Source organism: Homo sapiens, chromosome 3 (assembly GCF_000001405.40).
Source record: "Homo sapiens chromosome 3, GRCh38.p14 Primary Assembly".
Taxonomy (NCBI): Eukaryota; Metazoa; Chordata; class Mammalia; order Primates; family Hominidae; genus Homo; species Homo sapiens.
Genome location: NC_000003.12, coordinates 188158846 through 188184396, shown reverse-complemented (window position 1 = coordinate 188184396; position 25551 = coordinate 188158846). Strand labels below are relative to the sequence as shown.

The following is a 25551-nucleotide window of genomic DNA, read 5'->3' as shown; positions in this document are numbered from 1 at the left end:
TTTATCTTTCAGTGACAGCATGCTCTCCCTTCCCTCCTGGATGGGGAGCTCCTTGTGGGAAAGTTCTCACATCTGGGGCCCAGCCAGAGCCAAACAGTGCAGGGCACATGGCAGGCACTAAGAAACCCCAGCAGCAGGACTCTCGGTGCTGGAAGTAGTCCGTGCAAAATCAAATCCTTCAGAGCCTCACCAATGCCCTATCCACAGATTTTTACCCAAAGTACATTTTATTGCTCTATGACAGAATCTTCCAAACAAATTCATATCTTGGAAGCCCCGATGAATTAGAATCCCAGAGGCACTGCGATGGCCAGTCAAATCTTCCATTTGATAGTCTCCCACAAGGAGGTACCGTGGTCCCTGCCTGAACACCTCCAGCAACTGGAAATCTTATACCAATTGATACAGTCCACTCCATTTTTGACATCTGCTACCATAGGTCCTTACACACTAGTTCAGTCTATCTCTATGGGCTTTTTGCTTAAATTCCTAGCAGTGGCAGGTTAGAAGGTATAAGCACATATCCAGCTAGGAAAGCAGTGTAGTACGACAATTAAGGTCATGGACTTTAAAATCAAGCAGAACTGGGTTCACATCCCAGCTTGCCACTTATGGGAGGCCATAAAACCTCCCCAGCACACCCCCTCCCACTCCCACCCCCTCCCATGGCTGTTACAGGATTACGGGAAATGATTCAAGCAGAGTGCCTGGCACAGTGAGCACTGGGTAAATGGCAGCTATCATGGTCATTAGTTCTATTCCGCTTTGCCACGTAATCAGTGCTAATCACACCCTTGGCCACTACATGAAGTCTGTATGCCCTTCCACAGGATGTCTTTGAAAAGCTTCAGCTGATGTCTCATTCTGTTTGCTGCTGGCTGGGCACAACTGGAAGCAAGAAGTTGACCGGGGGCTCCCATGACAGTGTCTGATACAGAGGGGACAGTGAAAAAAGAATCAGAACAAAGCTTCTTTCACACCTGCCTTTACAGGTGCTGCCCATGACTCTACAAAGATAAAGGAAGACACCAGATGTCACAGCAGCTGCCTGGGTCACTTAGAGCAGTAGATATTGATGCTCTTCAATGTCTCAAGCCTCTTCAATCATAGCCCCAAAGAGGACATAAGGAAGGTGGGCAAAGGTGGAGGGGGAATGGAAAGGATACTCCAGGACGTGGTGCCTGTTTTCTACACTCCCAGCTGCCCAATCAAGCTCAGAGATCCGAGGACAAGAGTTCAACCTCTTCACCCACTTCTACTTCCACCCCAACACTGCAGGTCAGAAGCAGCTCAGGTAATGTGAAGTGTGTCCTCAGGCAGATAGTACAAAATCTAGGTCTGGCCTTGCTATTAAATTTATGTGACCTTGGGATGCTCATTGACCTCTTTGGGCCTCACCTTTCTCATCTGTACAATAGGATGCTGGCCTAGACCATTGGTTTTTCACCAGCAATGTACAATGGAAACACTGAGGGAATTTTCTCTAAGTACTCTTGACCAGGTCTACTTCTCAGAGATTTTGATTCTAGACTGGAGTAAGGGCTGGGCATGTGTGTGTATGTATATTATATGTACATATATTATATATGTGCATATATTGTATATGTACATATATTATATATGCACATATATAATATATGTACATATATGTATATATATTATGTGCATATGTTATATATATATATTCAATTCTTTAGCTGGTTAAAAATCACTGGACTTAAAGATCCCTATGTTCCCTTCAGCAAACACCATCATGTCTCACCCTTGGAAGAATGTGTGTAAAGAGCTGGGCACAGGACTTGGCACATAGCAGGTGCTAATTAAATATTTGCTCCCTCCTCTATCTATCACAACCACTCCCAGCCAAAAACAATGGCAGCCACATAGGTCTCACTAGGCCAGATGGCAGCTGGTGCTGTATGTGAAACAAATTGTGTCAGTCAATTAAGGAATACCCATGGTCTAGTCACAGGAAGTTCCGACCAATGAAAAGAACGAGGTAGGGATGACTATAAATAAGTACATGATGAATATAGCAGAGGTGAGCTCTACAGTAATGCTTCTCAAACTTTCAGCAACACCTAAAGACATAGATTCTGGGGTGAGACCGAGAGTCTCCACTGGTAACAAGTGCTAAGTGATACTGATGCTGCTGGCCCAAGGAGCAAGCCTGGAGTTGCAATCTAAATGTAGGCATTGTGAAGGGATAAACTTGCAGCCTAAGGCAATCGTTCCACACAGATTTGCTGAGCATCTATTAAGCACCACTCAGGAAATGTGCTGAGGCTGGAAAGACTCACGAGGAGTTAGACTTAAGAAAGAGACATCTCAGCAAATACTCGCAATAAAATGTGCCTTAAATTCTATATCAGAGATCTGGCCAAAGTGCTGTGGGCATCCCAGCAGAAAGCCAGTAATTATATCTGGGTTGCCTAAAACAGAAAACTATGAGGACGCTGATGAAGTAGTTAAATTGTGGAAGAGAACAATTACAAAACAGTATGTACATGGCCAGGTGCAGTGGCGTGCACCTGTAGTCCCAACTACTTGGGAGGCTGAGGCAGAAGAATTGATTGAGCCCAGGATTTCCAAGGCTGCAGTGAGCTATGCTCATGCCACTGTGCTCCAGCCTGAGCAACAGAGAGTGACCCTGTCTCTAAAAAGTAACCAATTAATTTTTTAATTAATTAAATTAAATAAATTTTTAAACATTGCTTTCAAAGTATGTACAGAATTGCTCCACTTTTGAGGCTAGAACCAGGTGGGAAAACTGATATTTATACAGCTTACTAGCGAGAAATAATTTTTCTATAGTTAAAAGAATCTTGAAGCAGCAGCGGAAACAAGAGGAGGAGGAGACAGAGACCATGTATGGCCTGCAAGGCCTAAAATATTTACTACCCAGTCCTTTACAGAAAATGTTTGGCAACCTGTAGGGTAGAAAGATAGATACACAGATACAATTATGTAGCAAATTTCACACTGGCTGTTGCAAATGACTGCAGGTGGTTTTTATTTTCTTCTTCTTTTTTTTTTTTTTTTTTGAGACGGAATTTCACTTTGTCACCCAGGCTGGAGTGCAGTGATACAATCTCAGCTCACTGCAACCTCTGCCTCCCGGATTCAAGCAATTCTCCTGTCTCAGCCTCCTGAGTAGCTGGGATTACAGGCATGCGCTACCAAGTCCAGCTAGTTTTTGTATTTTTAGTAGAGACGGGGTTTCACCATATTGGCCAGGCTGGTCTCGAATCCCTGACCTCGTGATCCGCCCACCTCGGCCTCCAAAAGTGCTGAGATTACAGGCATGAGCCACCGTGCCAGGCCTATTTTCTTCTTTGTGCTTTTTCATGTTTCTGTGTTTCTCCAGAGACAACATGTTCTCTCTGAAACTAAGGGTGAAAAAGTTACTGTCCTTTGTGCAAGGCATTTCAAATTCTAATAATCTACCTTAGAAAATAATCATAGGTGCAGACAAAGAATTTTGTTAAGAAGGATGTTCGTCACAGTGCTATTTATAATGATGAAAAATTAGAATTATGGTATATTCTTAAGATGAAACAGCATACAGCCATTCAAAATTACATGTACAAACAATTCTTAATGCCATGAGAAGCTGCTTGTGCTGTATTGTTAGGTGAAGTGGCAAGATATGAAAATGTTTATATAGTAATATTTAGTCAGTAAAATGCAAATGCACATAAAATCATGAAAAGCACCACTAAAGAAAGAATATTAGAAACGTAAACAATGCTTGTGTCTAAATAGTGATTTATGAGTGATGCTCATTTTCTTTATACGGTTCCATATTTTTGAAATGTGTTACTATGACTAGGTCCTACACTTATAACACAAAAATACCACACATAGTAAGTTCAGGTTTGTTTTTGCCTTAAGTCTTCTTGAGGGAATATAAGGAGGTTCAAGAAAGAGGAGACAGAACATTCCCCAGACAGAAACAAAGGGGAAGGGCCCTTGGGCCATCAGGGCAGCATGTGCTAAGACACAGAGGCTGCAAGAGAGTGGGACCAGGGACACACTCAGAGTAGCAAGCACAGAGCATGACTGGCAGGGGACAGCCATAGCAAATCCTGGAAACAGAGGTGAGGTCAGACGAGAGCAGGGCAAGGTGGGCACGGTGAGGGATTCTGCCCACAGGCTACGGGAGGCAGTGAGTGAGAAGGCAAGAAGCCAGCTGGGAAGCCGAAGGACAAATGCCTTCCCAGACACCTTAAATAAAAGCAGAGTCAGGGAGCGCGGAAGCCCACGCCAGGGAGAGCAGGAAGATAGTTAAGTGTCTTACACTCATTGCCATTTACAAAATGGTTCTCCTTAATTTTCTTCAAACAAGGCTATGCATATATTGGTGTCTGGAAATGAAATTAATTAGTAAATCAAATCAATACATTCTTATTGGCCAAGCATCACTCACGATCCCTTCTGACTTCATCCTAAAAGTGGACCCAACCAACAACCCCCTATGTTGCTTCACAAGTAATTTCTGACCAGTCAGGCACAGATGCCATGCAAAAGACAAGGCCTCAAGGTGCCATTATCTGTCAAATGGACCCAAGGCAGGATGAGGCTGAATGAAAGAGGAGGAAGAGGAAGAAAGGCTCACTCAGGGGGAGAGGGGAAGCTGCTGCAAGCTAACTACTGCTCTCACTGACTCAGGATGCCCATTTCTCACAACCAGAGGCCACAGTTTTGGAGCAGACAAGAGACTGCAGAGAGGCTTGCTGAAGCTCACTCCACGGCTGGATTCCTGGCAGGATGAGAAATGGAGTTCTAGTAAACTAGAAGGAATGCTGCTGGCAGGAGACAGACCTCTCGAGAGGGCTTTAAATGGAAATATGAGAGCACGAGAGGAACTCTAAGTGTAGAAAATGCACTGGGCAAACAAGCGTGTCGCAGATGTGGGCGCCCCAGAAGGGAAGGAGCTCTGGAGTCACAGGGGACCCAAAGGACAGAATGTCAGGTGGCCCTCCAAGCCCGCAGGTGGCAATGGGAACAAGGCGGGAAATGAACTGGAGAGCTGAAGGCGGGGGCCTAGGAGGAGGCCGCAGAGCTGTGATGAAGGGCTGCTCATCAGAGGCACATGCACGGGTCAGATAAAGAAGCTCCGCTGCGAAGACAGGGGGCAATGCAAGGCCACAGCCGAAGATTCCATGCATGCTCTTCACGGTGGCAAATTCAAAAGCCTTGGAGGGCAGCATGCTTCTATGATAATAGGGAATGGGGGCCGGGGGGAATATGTAGACCCCATATCAATGCTCTCAAAACCTCTCTCTCTCTCTCTCTCTCTGTCTCTCTCCCTCCCTCTCTCTTGCTCACTCTCTCTCTCTCTCTCTCTCTCTCTCTGTCTCTCTCCCTCCCTCTCTCTTGCTCACTCTCTCTCTCTCTCTTTGTCGTGCTCTCTCTCTCCCTCTCTCTCCCACTCCCCACCTCTGGCCTAATATACCTGCATGTCCACAGAGGCACCAATCTGCAATGATGATGGACTCTCTCACCCACCCTGCTACTAGGAAACTTCTTCCATATATCATAAACAGAGACCAGTATTACAATACTTCACCCACTGCGCCAATTTGGCTTTCATGTCTGTTTCCTGTGTCGATCACAACATCCTAGACAGCCCAAACAAGGCTTTATTCACCTCTAGTCCCCGGTCCCTGGAACAGCAGACAATAAATAAGGAATCAACAAGTGTCCTTCACTGCCGCACACATTGGCTGTGAATATCCTTTTGCAAAGTGCAGAACATCTGAAAGATTCTCACATTGACTAAACAACAGTGTGACCTGAAGTTAAGAGAACCATAAAGGTAAATGATTGCTAGAAGTTTAATTCCAAACAAGGAAGAGCAATTTGATGCAATGGGCAGAAGACAAACATTGGGAGAATGAGAACGTATCCTCTTGAGTTGTGATGTGAACAAACAGAGATTCCAAGATCTTGCAAAAGCGAACAGTCAGCAACCAGCATGGTGCTTAGAGTAGTCCCTGGGCAACAGAAAAAAAACAGATAAATGAAGAAACATGGACAATCACCCTACCTGGGTCTCAGCGTGAGGAGGAGAACTAGGACTTCCAGACAGAAAAGAGGAGAAGCATGAGGAGGGGGCTGGGAAAGACATTTCCCTGTGGGCATGTGGTGCCCTCCACTGGGGCCAGAATTCCCAACCTGCCTCACTCTCCCCATCTGTGAAATTGGCTGATTCCCTGAGGTCCCTCCCAGCACTGACTATCAAGTGACAGAGAACCTAGAAACTCCAGGAGCTCCATCAGAGCCCTGACTACCTGTCCAAGTGAGACTGTGGGAGCCTCACTCTTCTCACACCTGTAAACTGAGGGTGCTGCAGTGTCAGCTATATCAACACTCCCAAGTATGCCTTTGCCAAAACCTCTATGGATGAGAAAGGAAAAGAGCATGTATGGAATTGGCCAGGGCTTAGAACCATCTTGAACATGACACACTTATGCACATCGTCACATCTTCCCAGCATCCCTGTCCCACCTCGGGCAGCAACTGTCAAAGTTCTGCCCCCAGGATGACCTCCCAGAGTCCTCAGGGCAGCTCCATCTCTCCAGCCCTCATTCCTTTCCAGCTCTTTGGTGTTTCCCTGTAATAAAAACACTGTGCACTTCTCTTTTCATGTTTTAACCATGAAGTGCCTTCCTCCAGACAAGTACTTTAATCCTTACTCCAGTCAGAATAGGTAACATCAGCATAATTACCATCATTACTCCCATTTTACAGAGGAGAGGGCTGAGGCTCACGTAAGACCTAATCTTCATCTTCCCAGGGATCCTCCAACTCCTAGCCAGGCCTCTCCCAGCTCCTAAATCAATCATGAAAGACTACAGCAATCACATCCAGTACTTTTCTGATCTAGTGTCTTTGCCGCTAAATAAAGGCAGAAATCAAGGTGGCAGGATCAATCCTGTATTCAAATCACTGTACTGTCTGCCACCCTCCTATGCTGGTCCAGGGAGCAGAACTGAAAATGTGCCTCAAGGCCCCAATCCAAAACAGATGCCATCACCCTGGACAGATTCTCCAACCATGCTCCAAGACTGGTATCCATCTCACTTCAACCAGCCCTCCTTCCCAGGCCTGGGTCTGTCTACTGGCACAGGGGGACCCTGCCATGAAAATGAGGGCATCTCTACTGGATTGCAGGCGATCCCCTCGCTGGGCTGGCCCACCCATTCAACCATCACTGGACCACCCCCAGGCCTGCTACCCCTTCAGACACTCAGCCTCATACTGCCTAGCTCTTTCTACCAGGTCTCTCCCTCAGATCAATTCCACCTCAGCCCCAAACTTGCCATCTCCTAAGCAGATTTATACTTCTTCCCAATTTCTATCCTTCCTCTAGCTCATTACTGCTTTCCTGTTGCTTAAGCTAAGTCTATTTCAAATTATAGCTCAGAGAGGGCAGGTGACTTGTTCAAGACTACACAGCCATTTAGTGGCAAAGCTGGGGCTTGAACCCAGCTCTCCCAATTCTAAGCCTTGTGTTTTTCCACTAAATCTCAGCTGTCTCTCTCTATCATACTGCTCAAGAAGCCACTGGTGCATGAGAGGGTGCAGACCACATCTTATTCTCTTTAGTAATGTGTACACTAAGGGCCAGGTATATGTTCAGTGACTTCTTGCAGTCCTAGGAGGTATGACTGTCTTTGTTTACAGATGAGAAAATGTTTTCAGACTACTGCACTGCTATACCACTAGTCTAAATACAGTTGTGAACACACAGCACTGGTCAATAAATGTGGGTTAACTGATTTTTTTTTTTTTAATTAGCTGAAGAGAGCCTAATGGAAAGACCTGAAAAACAAGTTTGTGGCCAGATCAGGCAAAGGGGGTAAGATCCAGTTATCATTCTGCAGTAGAACTAAACATAATATTGTTGCAGGACAATCTCTGATGGCAATGTGAAGCAGTCTGTGAGTCGGGGTGCCTGATTTTGACTCTACCTGACCTGACAGTGTGTGTGACTCTAGGCAAATCTTTTCTATTTCCAGGCCTCATTTCCCCATCTTCAAAAACTCTTTTTTAAATTTATTTATTTATTTTTTTTACAAAAGAAAGAAAGCAAGAAATCCCAGAAGTTGAACTAGATCATAGGTTCTCTTCAACATTAGTAGCACCTGTGAGCTTCTTAGAAATGAAAATTCAGGGGTCCCGCCTGATTTACAGCATCAGAACCTCTGAGACGGGGCCCAGTAAACTCTCCAGGATGACCCTAATGTTCCTTCGAGTTTGAGAACCATTAGACTAGATGACCTTTATGATCCTTCCAGCTCTATCACTCTGAGAACCTTATGCTTTCTCAATTCAACAGCATCAACTCCTCCCAATTTTGCCATTCTGATTTTGATCTGGCATGAACTTGGGTCATCTGGCTCTCTCATCTGGTCATGTCTGATGCTTCCTCCTGTGATTAATAGAAAAGGCCCCAAGAAACAGACAGTATACTCCACTGCACTTATTTTTTCCATTTACCACCTCAGTGGTATGCATTCTGTCACTATATTTAAAAAAAAAAAAATTAACATGTACAAAAAAGCCCAACTATGAGCACAGTGGCATCCTGGTACTATCCTTTTAAAAATTGGAAAAGGAGTTTACTCCTGAGGCAAGTCAGTAAGGAACTGCTGTATTATCTGAAAAATAGGACCTTTCTGAGCCCAGTGATCTCTTTTTAGTATAAAGCCAGTTGAAGGAATAAGAGAGCATTTGCATTCTACACCAGAAATACTCGTAGATTAGCAAACCTTTTCTTTCTTGGTCCTTACATATCAAAACAAACAAACAAATCCAGATCGACCTTACAAGTATAAAAACACATCCCAATGAGTACTATTTTCTCTGTGTTAACTATCAACAAATGGACTGTTTACTGCTGAAATAGTGCCTGAAACTTTATTGTGAAATGAATGAATGTGCACCTTCTCAGTGCCAGCATGGGAGATGTAAAGATAAGCAAGTTAAAATTCTACTCTAGGTGGGGCGTGGTGGCTCACGCCTGTAATCCCAGCACTTTGGGAGGCCAAGCAGGCGGCTCACTTGAGGTCAGGGGTTTCACACCAGCCTGGGCAACATGGCAAAATGTCATCTCTACTAAAAATACAAAGAAAACTAGCCAGGCATGGTGGGAGGCACCTGTAATCCCAGCTACTTGGGAGGCTGAGGTAGGAGAATCGCCTGAACCCAGGAGGTGGAGTTGCAGTGAGCCAAGAACCCACGACTGCACTCCAGGCTGAGCGACAGAGCGAGACTCTGACTCAAAAAATATAAAATAAAATAAAATTCTACTCTAAAGAAACTAAATTTGAGTCTAGTGTCAGCAGTGTCAAACCTGTCCATCCATCCAACAAATGTTCACTGTTTGCCAAGTTCCAGGCAGACGAGAAGGTCCTAAAGAAGTAAAAGCCCAAAATAAGACGAGCATATTGATAACTACAAGAGAAGGTAAGAAGTGATCAGTGCCATGCAAGCAGTACAGACAAAGGGCCATGGAACCATAAGAGGAAGTGATGATTTCCTGCTTAGGGGGGATGGGCAGAAATCAAGGCATGCTTCATGGAAGAGGTGGTATTAATATGCTGGACCTTGAAGATCAATTGGATTCAAACAGGTAATGATGGCAGGGCAGGGTAATCCAAATGCAGAAAGTGCTGCAACAAAGACAAGAGTGAGGGAAAGCAATGGAGATGAGGTTTCAGAAGTCAGCTGGCCCCCTTCAATAAGACCATAAATGGCAGGATAAGGAAGATATACAGGGTATTTATGTCTCCAGGGTTCAGCTCCTTCACCCAGCCTCCCAGCTAGAGATGTCCCTCCTCCCCCATCTCTCCAGGCTCCAGGGACAGAACTGTGCACCTGCTGCCTCACCCAGCATGCTGTGCCTTCCCTGCTGCCTCATGCGTGCGTTCCTCGGGTATCAATGCCTGCGCACGCTTCGCTGCACTTGCTATGCCATGTCTTTACACTACTGTTTTCTGTAATTTATAAAACACATACTGCCCACGAGTTTGTATTTTTAATTCCTGTAAGAAGTTTTGGGATCCAATTTGTGTGAAAGTCAGACTGTAACATAATGTAGTATTGTATGATAAAAGCCTCCAAGAATAAAAACAGACAGTATATCCTGCTTATCAGATACTCAAACACTGGTTCCATTCCTGAGTGTCACAGATTTCCTCATGAATAACTCTTCTTTGTTTTGCACCAGCTTGTCCCAATCTTCTTGAAATAAGTTCTAAGGGGAGAATTTCCTGATTTTCAAGGCTTCTTTTTCAAACATTGATTGAGAACCTACTACGTTCCAGGCTGTGCTAAAAGTGGGCACAACGGTTTGCTTAACTTTCACAGGGTAAAACTGTGGCATTTTGTGAGGGTTAAGTCCTATGAGACATTACTGATCAGTGAACCCACTTTACAGATAAGGAAAAATGAGGGGAAAGGTGGAGGAGCCTGGATCCAAACCCTAATTTTTGGGAGTCCCCGATAGTTGCTCACTCATTTATTCAACAAGGACAGGATCAAGGTATCTTGAAGATCCTTTTCTGATCTTCTCTGGGCTTCCAGCTTCTCCCAGCATTGTCACTTCACTTTTGGGGGCCTCAGTCTCTTCCCCTAAGAACAAGGAGACTCAATGCAGTGACTTTTAAGCCCTGCTTTGCTGGAGCCCTTCAGGGAGATAAATCAGGGGAAGAAAAAAAGGTGGGTCCCATCCTGCTCGACTTCATCCGCAGCTGCTCCAGATTACATGATTACAACATTATACGTCATAGTAGGCTTTTCTTTCTTACTTTTTTTTTGAGATGGAGTCACTCTGCTGCCCAGGTTGGTTTTTTTTGTTTGTTTTTTTTGTTTTTGTTTTTTTTGAGACGGAGTCACTCTGTTGCCCAGGCTGGAGTACAATGGCACAATCTCAGCTCACTGCAACCTCTGCCTCTCAGGTTCAAGTGATTTTCCTTCCTCAGCCTCCTGAGTAGCTGGTACTACAGGCGTGAGCCACCACACCCGGCTAATTTTTGTATTTTTTTAAATAGAGATGGGCTTTCTCCATGTTAGCCACGCTGGCCTCGAACTCCTGACCTCAGGTGATCTGCCTGCCTCAGCCTCCCAAAGTGCTGGGATTACAGGCATGAGCCACCGCGCCTGACCTGTAATAGGCTTTTCTATAAGGAATCCTTCTCTAAATATTAAGGAATATGGGCCAGGCGTGGTGGCTTACACCTGTAATCCCAGCAGTTTAAAAGGCTGAGGCAGGAGGATGGCTAGAGCCCAAGGGTTTGAAACCAGCCTGGGCAACACAGTGAGACCCTGTCGCTACAAAAAATACAAAAATTTATCTGGGTGTGGTGGCATGCACCTGTTGTCCCAGCTACCCCAGAGGCTGAGGTGGGAGGATTGCTTGAACCCAGAAGGTCAAAGCTGCAGTGAGCTATGATCACACAAGTGGGGGACCCCAGCCTAGGGGACAGAGCAAGACCTTGTCTCAAAAAAATAAGTAAATAAATATTAAAGAAGATGAAAGTTTTAAAATGATCCTAAACTGGGTATCCTGGACTAGATCTTGGAACAGAAAGAGGAACTTAGTGGAAAAGCTGGTGAAATCTAAATAGTTTGGAGTTTAGTTCACAGTAATGTACCAACATCAGTTTCTTAGTTTTGACAAACGTTCCATAGTAATGTAAGACATCAAAAATGAGGACAAGTGGGTGAGTAGTATATGAAAATTCCCTGTACAATTTTTACTTTTCTATCAACCTAAAATTACTCCAAAATTAAAAGTTTATTTAAAAAGACAACAATAACAAAAAAAACACAATCATTTAGATAATCTCTATTATCTTTTCCAAATCGCCATTTTGTGACTTAATAAGGGTAACACATAATAACAGTGGCTAATATTTAATGGGCACTTATCACATGTCAGGCTCTGTTCTAAGGGCTTTATATGTATTAACTCATTTAATCCTCACAACAAGATAAGTAATTTTCTTATTATTATTTTATGGATGAGGCAACAGAGGCCTAAAAATACTGAGCAACAAGTTGAGGTATTTTTGGCAGGCCAGAATGCAAATCCAGGCAGTGTAGCTCCAGAGCTCTGGCCCTTAAGCACTACATACTTAGAGCAGAGTTTTCCAGATGCTTCTGGAATTGGGCCTATCTAACCAGGAATAGCCAAAGGACTAAAGGCAAAGACTGAGAGGTGAGTAGTTTGTTTAATACAAAAGAAGAGGAAGCAAAAAGGACTCTCAAGGTGAATTCTTAGCTTCTGAAAATCTCTACTGGAGAAGAACCAAACCTCGCCGAGGTTACCAATGGCCTCTCCACATGGGAATGACATCCTTGGCCTTGTCCTAACTGTGTTCTGCCCTCTCTGGCATATCATCCTTGAAGAGTTGCACCACCAGCCCACATCATGCCCTCTAGTCGGCTACTTGCTGGCTGTCTGCTGACATTTTCATCCCTGAAGTGTCAGTTCGGGTAGAGAGTGAAATGAAACATGCAGGCTGTCTTTTCAAGGCCTGCAAAATAAGCTTAAGCTTTCCACATGACCAGTTTTCCTAGATACTCAAGAATCCACGCTGAGAACCTAGTAGTGCATTGCCCAATCCTAGAAAGCAAAAACCCCACCTTTCCAATTGATAATATACCTCATGGACTGTTGTTTCCACTAAGTGTCAAAAAGAAAGCATCTCACCTCCATTATGGGATCCTTGAGGATAAGACTTGGTCTCACTCATGGAACAACAATATGATTCCATAAAGAAATGGTGCTAATCTCTTGGAAAGATTTGTAGCTGGCCAGGACCACCACCCGGCAATCTGTGCCTCCATTGCAATCATTTGTCTTTGGGAGGTTTCAGAGTGGACAGCATCCATAGGCATAGCCTGAAGGGAAAAAGGTGAGGAGAGAGGAAGCTATCCAGATGGAGAATGAGAAAGGAAGATTTACAGCATTGAGGGTGTAGACAAGAAAGAGATAAGCTTGGGTGACTAAAAAGCAATGGCAATAAAAAGAAAATGAATCCAGAAGCAGTCAGGATGGAAGAGAACCAATATTCATGGAATGCCTACTTTGTGTAGGCATGAACTATGCTCACTGCAGGAGTTTCCTCATACTGCCAGGCTCAAAAGTACATGGAGGATCAAGCAATCCAGGGTGACTGCAGCTTGTGTTGACTTAGTAAACATTCAAATTCAACATTTTCTAGTTAAAAGGCCCTGAGAGTACACATAGCGTAACCCTAACGTTTCATACACAGATAAACTGAGACTCAGACTCAGAAAAATTCAAGCCCAAAATGGAATGAGAAATACAACCCAGGTTTGCCAGTGTTCCTTTTGATACAGATATGAAAAACAAGGAAGGTATTGCTGAGAGGCTCTGAAAGAATTCACTGTTACGTGAAATCTCCCATGATATGGCAGACCAGATTTGTAGATTATCCTCTACCTCATCTAGCATGTTCCATCTGCTGGTTGCTACCAGAGGGGAGGAAATTGGTAGCATTATTTTAAATGAAGTAGATGTCTTTCCAGGAAGATATAAAAGGGTACCTTGCCTTAGATGAAGAAGATGATTCAGATGAATAAGAATGAAAAATGAAGACACAGGTGATTCACCAGAATAAGAGAAGCTGGGGGGAAGGTAAGTTGGAGGAAGTGGTAGATGACAAGGTAAACGGAAACTAGACTGACTAGAATGATGCTGTTGATGAAGAAGCTGAGACTCCCTCGGCTGGGCATGGTGGCTCACACCTGTAATCTCAGCACTTTGTGAGATCGAGGCGGGCAGATCACAAGGTTGGAAGTTTGAGACCAGCCTGGCCAACGTGGTGAAACCCCATCTCTACTAAAAATACAAAAAAATTAGCTGGGCATGGTGGGACACACCTGTAATCCCAGCTACTCAGGAGGCTGAGGCAGTGGAATTGCTTGAGCCTGGGAGGCGGAGGTTGCAGTCAGCCGAAATCATACCACTGCACTCCAGCCTGGGCAATAGAGCGAGACTCCCTCTCAAAAAAAAAAAAAAAAAAAGAAAAGAAAAGAAAAGAAACTGAGACTCCCTCTCATAAGAGTGATTCACAAGGCAGAGGCTCTGCCCCAAACAAAGCATGAGAATGAAAATGTCTTACAGACGTGAATCAACAATCACTTCTGCAGATGGGCAGTCACGCAGTTGGAACAAAGCCGAAGGCAGAAAGTTCTGCGCCAAAAAATTCATTGCCTCTTACCTCTCCATATTCAGGCTATAATAAAAATTGGTCTACATTATATCAATGTGTTAGGGAGTCTCCACCAAATCAGCCATGTCAGAATTTCACTGTTATTCTGTTCCCGATGATGCTCTGGCAACCCTCCAGGCCTCTCTGCCTACACAGTCTATCTCCCGCTAGACCCAGCGCTCCTCCATGAGGAAAGGCTGTCCTGGTTACATACCCTCCACTCCAGTTAAAAGACTCTATGTCTAAAATCACCCACTCTATGTGCACAACTTTCAGACAAAGTAGAATTCTGACCCTGTATCATAGTTACTAGGGTGAATGTCTGAGTACCCCTTCTGGGCTGTGGGAGGTTCGTGGCCAGGGTCCACGGCCCACAGCAGCTTTCCCCAAAGCATATTACATCACTGAACCCAGGAAATGCTCTGGTACAAAGGGTAGTAGTGGGGTGCAGGGGTTCTATGATCAAATAACTTTGGGAAACAAACCTTCCGGGAGGTCAGAATGCGCATTCGTTTATTAAAGTCTCAAAATCCCATGGTAAAGATACACAATACTGAAATTTCCTTAATTTTGTTTAACTTGGACTTTTCCAAACTTACTTGGCTACAGGACCCTTTTCTTAATAAAACAGCCTTAACACTTTGGGAAATACTGTCTTACAGAATCACAGCATTCTAAAGGACCTTCATGTTCCTACAGCTGAACTTTGCAGCTTTCACACTGGTCTGTGTCCTCTTTAAGAGCAGGGGCCTTGTCTGAATCAAGGTGTATCCAAACACTCAGCTAAGTGCCTTACACACTGCAAGCCAATAATACGTGTTACACGGATAAACTAAACCCAATCCTCTCATTTCTAGGATGAGAAAATAAAACCAAATATGTCAGAATGACCTCTTTTATAGCTTCCTTAGGGTTTAAAAGAAGCCTCTCACAGAGAATGTGCTCAATACCTTTTGAAAAACGAAATGTTAATAGAATAGGATTGAAGAAAAAAGAAAAGATTGAAAAAGTTTCTCAGTTATACTACGAGCCCAAAGTTTCTATAACATGATGGACTGCTGCCTCTTCTCCTCTTTCACCCAAGTGAAGTCTTAAGTAGAAGAAAATAAAAATGATGAATCAAAAAAGGAAAACTGTAGGAAAACCAAAGGCCCCTTGGGATGGGAGGTGGGGGAGGTGGTGTTTGCAAACTGATGGGGATAAACAAGACTTGTCTGTATCTAATTTAGACTTAATAAGATAGTTTGCTGAATGTTAATTAAATACTCAGTGGTTGTTACCAACTGTGGTGATTAACTTAATTTTGAATTAAATAAGCAATAAATGCTTAACTGAAGTTCTATTAAATTTTACCCAGCAAGTGAGAAATATGAGGCTCTTAATTGACTTTAAACAAGATAGTTATGGCAAGTTAGTTGAATTTTTATTACCTGAAGATAACTGCCTTATTAAATCTAAATTGTCTATTTTATTTGATAGGGAAATATGTCATCAGTTCTTCTCATTTACCAAAAACATGTCAAAAGAGGTTCACAACTGGTCTGAAATGCTTGGCTTGGGATTTACTTCCTGATCTTATTTTAATATTAAGTTTATTCATTTAAGAATGAATTTAGACTTAAGCATTAGAGAGGTCTAGGAAGGAATTATATTTACAACTGAAGAACCAGGTGACCATGTTTTCTAAACCAAAAATCAGGACTCTGATTTTTCAACGTAGACACAGTTTAGAGATGTTCTTTAACATCACAATACTGAAATTTCCAGGATGTCGCCATGGTTTAAAAGGCTATGGACACAAAACATTTAAAATCATTACTGTTCAAATAAATGGTTGGCTCTGCTACTGAACAAGCTGTACGGCCCTGGGTAATTAACCTCACTTTTCTAGACTTCAACTATCACACATGTTAAATGAAGAGGTTGGAAGTCACTGTTTTCATTCATTTATTTTTTTCTTCATAGTATGTGCAGCACGTGCCTGGCACGGAGTAGGTAGCTCAATAAAGACTGAGAGAATGAATGAATGCACAAATAAATAAATTTAAGCAGCTCAAAACATTAAACATTTTTAGCCCTTTTATATCAAGCGTCTTCAGCCCAGACTATTTCTAAATATTGTCATATGACAATCCATATAAAGAGAAACACAAACAATAAACCACTACTTGGGAAATTTTTTTAGTAATCAAAGAAATTCAAATTAAAACAATAATAAGATATTTCTTACATATTAATTTAGCAAAGACAAATGCAAGTTATAAAATTAAATCCTGGTAAGTGCACAGAGAAACAAGTAGATTCACATACTGCTAATGACTGTGCAAGTCAATAGTCTTTCTGGAGGCTGACTGGCAACTGATCTGAAAAGTCATAGAAATAGTTGGGACTTTTGTGCTATAATTCTTCTCTGAAAGAACTTAAAACATATTTAGCCAGTCAGCAAACACTGGGTCTACCATAGGTCATAATTTGGAGAAATAAAAGGAAAAATACAGTGAGTGCATTATTAGCTAATGGGTTGACAGAGAATCCTAAAAAAAAAAAAAAACAACACACACACAAAGATAACATTTTTCAGTGGCACTGCATGGCAGGCCTTTGTTTTGTTTTGTTTTGTTTTGTTTTGTTTTGTTTTGTGGTGGTGGAGTCTTGCTCCGTTGCCCAGGCTAGAGTACAGTGGTGGCACAATCTCAGCTCACTGCAACCTCTGCCTCCTGGGTTCAAGCAATTCTACTGCCTCAGCTTCCCAAGTAGCTGGGACTAAAGGCACATGCCACCATGCCCAGCTAATTTTTGTATTTTTAGTAGAGACAGCATTTTGCTTTGTTGGCTAGGTTGGTCTCGAGCTCCTGACCTCAGGTGACCTGCCCGCCTCGGCCTCCCAAAGTGCTAGGATTACAGGCCTGAGCCACCGTGCCCGGCCAACATGGCAGGCTTTGAGGCTTTACTACACTGACCATAGAATACCTTCCACAATCATGTTATGTGAAAGATACTATTACACTCTTTTAGAGATGAGGAATTGGAAGTTCAGAGAGGCTAAGTAACCAGTACACGATTATATGGCTAACAATTAGCAGAGCTATAATTTAAATCCAAACCTTCTAACTCTCCAAACCATCCATGTAGTTTCTACTACATCCCTCAGCGATAACCACGTAATGCAAGACACAAAAACTGTAACCTCTATAAGGAAAAGTCAAAGTGCCAAGAAGGTACTCAATTAGGTGGTGGTGGTTTTTTTAATTTCTTAAGCTATTCTTAAAACTCAAGTCATCATTTATTACTTCATATATATTATTCATTCATTCATTCATTCATATGTTCATTCAATAAACATTTATTAAATTATTTATAACATCCCAGGATTTGCAGCAGATGCTGTGGATATGAATATGAACAAAAGCTAGAGCCGGACTCAGAGATCTGCACAGGCAGGGAACAGGAAGAATCTGGCATTGCGATAATAGAAAACTTAAGTCCTGGTTCAATGTTTAACTTGCTTGGGTTCTGGGCAAATCATTTAACCTTTCCCAGGTTCAAGCTTCTGATTAAACTTGGACAATAATAATAACCATCCGCAGGACTACTGGTATGATTTACCTGTAATTTGTAGGAAAACACATGTTTCCATAAAGCCCTATAAGAAATGGCAACAGCAAGATAAGTATTATGCTATGTGGATGGTCCATTTTGACCAGGATCCTGCAAGCTGAGCCAGCTACCAATATCTCCCACATGAGTGAGCATTAATTTATTGGCAACGAAATGGTTGTTCCATCACTACTCTGAATGAACTACAGGCCACCATTCTTAGAGCTCAATCATCCATTTTTAACTCTCTCTGCCTTTTGTCTAAAATAATCCTGAGGAGCCAAATGGATAAAGCATTCCCAGATAAGACTGTTATAAGTCTCTTTTCCCAGGAATTAAATTTAAAAAACAAAAAGAAAGAAGAAGAAGAAAGAAGAAAAAAAAAAATCAGGGTTGATAGGTCTTAAAGACCTCGCAGAGGAGTTTTCAACCAATGCCTGAACTTTCACGGTAACAGTTCAGTCAGTCACTGCTTGAATATCTCCAGCAATTAGAGATTCAGTAACTCCAGAAAGAGCCATCTCATCTCATTCAGAATTAAGAGATGTCACAGAATCCTTACAAGATAAAAAAGGGTGGAGATCTTCCTTGACAAGCAGTTCTCTCAAAAGCCGTATGTTCCGTCACCCGTCTAAGACACTGGGCAGACGAGATCACCTCAGTGTTACGCTGGGACCAGGGCTGTGAACTTTGCACGTGTAATTTTCTTAGGTGCTGAGTCTCCCCTTATGCAAAATGAGAAGACTCTGTGACTTCTATTCTATCTGTGAGTCATCTCTCATATCGACTGCCTCAACCCTAATTCGGTTTTGCTTTATCATTTGCCTGGGCTATTGTAGCAGCTCAGACAGCTCCTGCTGTCTCTAGCACCCTTGCCTTCAATCCGTCTAGCACACTATAGCTGATTATTTTCTTAAGGCACAGATCCAGTCATCTCATTGATCTACTCAATGCTCCTTTCAGAATGCAGTCTCAACTTCTCAGTACAGCAATAAAGGTTTCTCTCAATGTAGACCCTAACCCATCTCCACAGCCTCTCTACTATGCAGTCCACCTTCATGACTCTAATTTTTCAAGGCACCATGCACTTTCTCACCTCCATGTCTCTATCCATGTTATGTCTCCCACTTAAATATCCTCTATCCCACCAAACAAATTCCCACTTACCCTTCAATGCCCAATCAAATGACAATCTCTTTATCTGAGTTTCCCCAGGTCCCTAGGGAGTTACCATCCAATTAGAGCCATCAGACTTTTTTTTTTTTCCTGACAGACAGAGTCTATTCTGTAACCCCAGCTGGAGTGCAGTGGTATGATCATAGCTCACTGCAGCCTCAAATTCTGGAGCTCAAGGGATCCTCCCGCCTCAGCCTCTTGAGCAGCTAGGACTATAGGCATGCACTACCACACTGGCTAATTTTTTTATTTTTATTTTTTTAGAGATGGGATCTTGCTATATTACCCAGGATGGTCTTGAACTCCGGGCCTCAAGTGATCCTCCTGCCTCGGCCTCCCAAAGTACCGGGATTACAATGTGAGCTACTGCACCTAGCCCCTTCAGGTATTTTTTGCATATACTTCTACATACTGTCTTGATGATTTATGTGACCTCTTGCAAGCAGAGACCACACTGCATTCACGTTTCCATCGTCGAAACCCAGAGTAACATATCACTAATTCTTTCACAGATGCACCTGATACACGATGTCAAATGAATACACAAATGTATCAAATTTATGGAAAGAATGTTATCTTTAGGGTCCTGTCCAGCTGTCACTACTGGAACCCTAGATATTCTCCAGGTAAAGCTATTAAACTATGACCAAGAAGAGAGACTTCCAGGGTGACAATGACCACCTACTGGAACACTGACCTATCTTTCACCTCATTCTAAGAAAAGGTGTCACTTACCTGCCTGGCCAGGGCAGAGTTTGCCTTTCCCATGAGTCAGGGCACACCCAGCCCTGTGGGTGGCAACTCTTTATTGCACTTCCTGAAAATGATTCGTTTTCATACCAAACAAGACAGAAGCTCCAGGTGCCAACCAAGTTATTTTCTTCCTTGAACTAAACAAGAACCATCTTCAGTGGAAATTCACTAGGAAGTACAAGTGCAGATGACTCTGCATAATGGAAATGAATTTCCACTGTGACCTCTTGGCACAGAGTTTAGTAGAGCATTAGGCTTCCACGGTTACAGCTAGAGATCATTATCAAGATGGGCCACTGGATGGAAAATAATAGATTCAGGGACCCAGCTAAAGTACACACATGAACAGAGAACCAATCTTATTCCTTAACTCTCAGTAGCCAGAGCAATTCAGCTGCCTGCTGAATCCTGGTCTAAGCCTTCCCATCCTTCAATGTCTAACTGAAGGCTCAGCACTTCCAAAAGGCTCCAGCAATTCACAAGTCCATCAGTCCTTCACATGCGCCTCTCCCACGGCACTCTCTTATATTATAGATATACATTAACATGATTTTATCAACCCTCATAAATAGTAAGTGCTTACGATCTTGACATACCCTTCAAACAAACTTAAATTCCACTTCTATAAATGTAGTTTATTCAGCAGACTTTTTTTTTTTTTTTTGGAGACAGAGTCTTGCTCTATTGCCCAGGCTGGAGTGCAGTGGTGCCATCCTGGCTCACTGCAACCTCAGCCTCCTGGGTTCAAGCGATTCTCCTGCCTCAGCCTCCCGAGTAGCTGGGATTACAGGCGCCCACTACCACACCTGGCTAATTTTTTTTTTTTTTGTATATTTAGTAGAGACGAGGTTAAATCATGTTGACCAGGCTGGTCTCAAACTCCTGACCTCACGTGATCCACCCAACTCAGTCTCCCAAAGTGCTGGGACTACAGGCGTGAGCCACCATGCCTGGCCACTCAGCAGACATTTCTTGAGCACCTAGCACCCCCTCTAACAAAAACAGTGGATGTTTGTTGAGTCCTTGCCTTATGCCTGGCCTTATGCACATTATTTACACTACCTCACTCAATATTCACCTATAAGTAGGGTGACCATATAACGTATCCTCCGAATCAGGACACCTATGAGAGTAAAAAGGAACACTACTGATACCACTGAAGTCCTCTGCAAGTTGACAGTTGCGCTGCTGGGTGGTGGCCTGAGTAATTAAGGGACACTAACAATGGCTTCAGCAGGAAGGGTGCATGCTGGAGGCAGGTCAAAGCATCCTCCTTTAAGGTCAGTGACCCTGCCCTGTCCTGATCCTCATGCTTATCCAGCCCATGAAAGGTTCCCACACAAGTTTCTGAAGAAGACCTGGTTTCACCTTCAACACCAGCTTTCCATTTGAACTACAGAGGGATCTCCAGCTATGATGCAAAGTCACAACACAAGCAATTACAACAGTAGAAGCAGACCCTCCACGGGTAACAGATACAAACAGTGCAAACAAAACCCAAGAGAAGGTGGGATGGTGGCAGTGGAAGAAGGGACACTGCACAGCCATCCACTGGTGACAAATCAGCGCACAACCTGGAAATGCCCGTGAATGTCTGTGGCACTCATCCCACTTTTGCGGGCACACTATACTCAACTGTGGTGACCTCATTAATAAGAGATCTAAAAATGAATACGTGGAGAAAACAAATAGTGCCTGTGACCACCAAGGGAGCACCCTGTATTAAACAGCACAACGAGGACTTGAACTAGGAGTTGTCTAGGTCTAAATCCTTTCAGCCCCACAAGCACAGTAAGGTGTCATCACTGTGTGCCAGATGCCCCGCTGGGCACCCAGAATCGGACACATGTACAGACTGCATTACCACTGACAAAGCGCCATCACAGAAATGCCCCTGATTCTCACAAATGCATTGTGATAGATCACAGGATCTCCATTGAAAGGTAATTTAGGCTCAGGGATGTTCCAGAACTTGTTCAAGATCACAGGGCTTGTGGTTAGCCCAAACATAGGTCTTTGTTTTCCCTACACCAAAAATCACCACTATTGCCAAAATGATCCGGTATGGTGAAGCCCAGATCTTTGAACTCCCTGTCCCAAATCTGATTTTTAGTCTTGCCTTCCAAAGCCTTGAATATAGTCACCTAATGCTACTAATTAGTACTAGTGAAATAATAATAACTACTTCTCACCTGTGTAAAGGGCTTGCAGGGATGTTCACATCAACTATGCTCATTTGCAAAAGTTAAGGAACAAGACAGGAGTTTTGGAGAGGGGGGTTTGATTCTCACTCTGCCACTTAAGGCCCTGCACCCCAGTTAGGAAAGTTTTATGACCCTTGAACTCCCGACCAATATCTGCAAGATAAGACTGATCTAGCCAACTTGTCTCTTGCATTATATTTGGGAACAAAGTAATACAAATGATTATAAAATGTATTTGCTACATTAAAAGTGCTATGAAGGCTATGAAATACTCATGGTTTCTGTGAGATACATTGTGATGGGCAGGTTCAATAGGGAAGACAAACACAGGAGGATCTACCTTGTAATGGATCTAAAACTATTGCCTAAAAACTTCTAGGCAAGCAAAAATAAGTAAATATTAATGGAGAATGGTAGAGAGCAGGGGCAGGGAGCTGTCAAAAGCAAGGAACCTTGATATTAGCATGGAAGCATAGCTTGGTTCTCACAAACAAGCATCAATGGCAGCCATCCATGGCAGTTACATAAATAAATCGCCAGACCACACACACTCAAACTGAACCATCTTAATCTGATTGCTTTCTAAGTATGAAGCGCAAGTTTCAAGCCTAAGATACCATAATTTCCAAGTTACATCCTCTCCTAAAATTCTCCAAAGCAGAGAAACCCCTAGTGGAGGGTGGAGTGGGGAAGGAAGGTGTGAGGTACAGCAGAAATTGAGAATGAAAAATACCTGGAAACAGGGCTGGCCTAGGAGTAAAGGCTGTGACCCAACTCCACTTCAGCTGACAAGGGTGTGATTGAGCAGCTCTGTCCCTTTTCTGGGGCCTCAGTTTCCTCATCTGTATAACAAGGGATCAGCTCACTCTGGCCAAGAAGGCCCCAGTCCATGCTTGGCTGGCAGCTTGCTGCTTCTCCTGTTGACTACAAACTTTGGTGTACATTAAAAAAATTCTTTTCCCCAGCCAAGATGGATAAGCTGTCAAACAATTAGAAGGACAAAAGTAGGAATTAAGCTACCTGATATTATTCTAGCAGCAAACAGTTTCTGGAATCCATTTTTCCCTCCGTACGCTGCTGACCCGATACAGGCCCATTTCTCCTGTCCTGGAATACTTCAGCAGCCTTCTAAGCTGGGACTCTGCCTCTGGTCTTAACCTGCCCTCAGTCTGCCACCAGAGCTCTTTGAAATACAGATCCAACAAGGCCCTCCTTTGCTCAAAATATAATAATAATAAAAGCCTTCCTGCTCCCTCCCACCTCTGCCATCATCCTTAGCTTGGCCCATCAGCTCTTTATCAACTAACCCTCCCTAGCCAGCCCCATCTCCCACAGTGATCTCCAAACACACATTTATATTCCTCAAATACTTTTAGGCCTCAGGCCTGTGCACATACACCAAGGTCCCTATGGCTAGAAAGCTCTTCCACTCCTATCCACCATGTAAACTCCTATTCACTTCTCAAAACCCAACCAAATGTCTTCTTTTCCATAGGCATTCACCAGTTCTTCTAGATGATTGGTCACTCCTTTCTCCATGTTCCCATTAGCCCTTTGCTCATTACTTTATTAGAGCCTTAGCATCTTCTCTTTCAGTTTCTTTCCTATGATAGAAGGAAGACTCTGGAAGGCAGAGCCTATCTCAGTTTTCTTTGTAACCAGTATCTAGCATTTCTGCCTGGCATACAGTAATCACTTTGTACACAAGTACCGAACTCAATACATGAAATTGAGTTGTATCTGATCACAGATACGTGTGGGTTGGAAGGGTTAAGGAGTCTGGAAATTGCTTCATGGCACAAGGTAGATTTTGATATTGATCCTAGAATCACAGGTTTACAACAGGCAGAGACAGAAAGGCTGGAAACTCCAGGTAGAGAAAACAGCATAAGAAAAGGCATGGATTAAGAAAACAGAGGGCTGGGCACAGTGGTTCACTCCTGTAATCCCAGCACTTTGGGAGGCCAAGGCCAGCGGATCACCTGAGGTCAGGAGTTCAAGACCAGCCTGGCCAACATGGTGAAACCCCATCTCCACAAAAATACAAAAATTAGCCAGGCGTGCCAGCAGGCACCTGTAATCCCAGCTACTTGGGAGGCTGAGGTAGGAGAATCGCTGGAACCTGGGAGGCGGAGGTTGCAGTGAGCCGAGATCGGGCCATTGCACTACAGCCTGGGCAACAAGAGTAAAACTCCATCTCAAGGCTGAGCGTGGTGGCTCACGCCTGTAATCCCAGCACTTTGGGAGACCAAGGCAGGTGGATCACGAGGTCAGGAGTTCAAGACCGCCTGGCCAACATGGTGAAACTCCGTCTCTATTAAAAATACAAAAATTAGCCGGGAGTGGTGGCGGGCACCTGTAATCCCAGCTACTTGGGAGGCTGAGGCAGGAGAATCACTTGAACCCAGGGGGTGGAGGTTGCAGTGAGCCAAGATTGCGCCACTGCACTCCAGCTTGTGTGACAAAGTGTGACTGTGTCTCAAAACAAACAAACCAAACAAACAAACAAAAAAATACTCTGTCTCAAAAGAGAAGAAAACAGAGGACTGTTCCAGACCACCTGTCTGTGTGAGGGAAAAGTGAAAGAGCAGTTGCAACTGCAATTAACCTTGGCATAGTTAATCTCACAACCCTCAGCTCTACACTCCCAGTCCCTCAATCTTCACTCTGCTGGCAGGACTGCCCAATGCCACCTGTGCCAGCAACAACTGGCTCAAGGTTCTGGGGCAGTAAAAACAGTCCCGCTCCCCCATGATTGCTATCCTGTGGCTGCAGTGAACTATTTTACTCCCTCTCTTCATCAAGCAAGTATTTCTGGAGTGCCTACCATGTGTCAGGCATTCTTCTGGGCATTGGGAATACAGCCATCAACAAGCAGACATCACTGCAATCCTCAAGCAGCTTATTTTAAAGTGGAGAGGAGGCAGACACACAAATATGTAAGATGAAGTGGTGATGCATGCTTATTTGTGTCCATAAACATTGTTCATTCACCAAACAGCTACTGAACATCCTGGGGTCTGTCTCCTCTCACAACACAATAAACAGATTATTAATGCTTTTATCTGTGAGTGGCCAAAATGTAGATGACCCATCTGACTCAGGTAGGTGATAGGAAGGATTGTAGGTGTTCCCTCAGAGCCCTGAGCCAGAAAGCTTTCCTAGAGGACGCAGAAGCTATATGGTTCAGCACCAGAGAACATATAGCACCGTTACCGGAGCCGTGAGATCAAAGGTAATGACTGAGTTCAAGACTGTCACTTCCCCACTCTGTTACTTTATGACCCTAACTGCCTCTCTACAAGAATAAATCACATTCTTAACACAACAAGGGACTGGGGAAGCGAGCTCTGTTGAAAGAGGCAGATGATTTGCTAGAGAGGCTTAGTCCTTTCCAGTTAGGTTTGGGGAGAGACGACACCCAAGGTAGCATCTTAAGAGAGAAAAAGGGGCTAGAACAGCACCAGTGTGGGACTGAGAAGCCCGTTTGTCCATGTGAATCCTCAATTGTGACCCCACTAGGGCCCCACGAATGTGGGCTGAATTAAATTCCAGGGAAGAACACA

General features: G+C 43.7%; 1 protein-coding gene and 1 long non-coding RNA gene across 47 annotated transcripts in view, besides 2 other annotated features; both read right to left on the bottom strand.

Moving 5' to 3' along the window:
- LPP (LIM domain containing preferred translocation partner in lipoma) overlaps nt 1-25551 on the bottom strand; it is a 737651-nt gene that overhangs the window by 706275 nt on the left and 5825 nt on the right. The gene's annotated exons all lie outside the window — the stretch shown is intronic.
- Nucleotides 3589-5854, bottom strand: FLJ42393 (uncharacterized LOC401105). The gene has a single exon (NR_024413.1). It is a non-coding gene; the product is annotated as an uncharacterized LOC401105 (long non-coding RNA).
- Nucleotides 4478-5090: an enhancer, noted in NCBI's record as "H3K27ac-H3K4me1 hESC enhancer chr3:187897095-187897707 (GRCh37/hg19 assembly coordinates)". NCBI's record gives its function as "activates a minimal SCP1, AML or CMV promoter by ChIP-STARR-seq in primed H9 embryonic stem cells {active_cell/tissue: H9 hESC(primed)}" and the evidence as "EXISTENCE:reporter gene assay evidence [ECO:0000049][PMID:30033119]".
- Nucleotides 18956-20155: an enhancer, noted in NCBI's record as "CDK7 strongly-dependent group 2 enhancer chr3:187882030-187883229 (GRCh37/hg19 assembly coordinates)". NCBI's record gives its function as "activates an origin of replication core promoter dependent on BRD2, BRD4, P300/CBP, MED14 and CDK7 cofactors, with strong dependence on CDK7, by STARR-seq in HCT116 cells {active_cell/tissue: HCT116}" and the evidence as "EXISTENCE:reporter gene assay evidence [ECO:0000049][PMID:35650434]".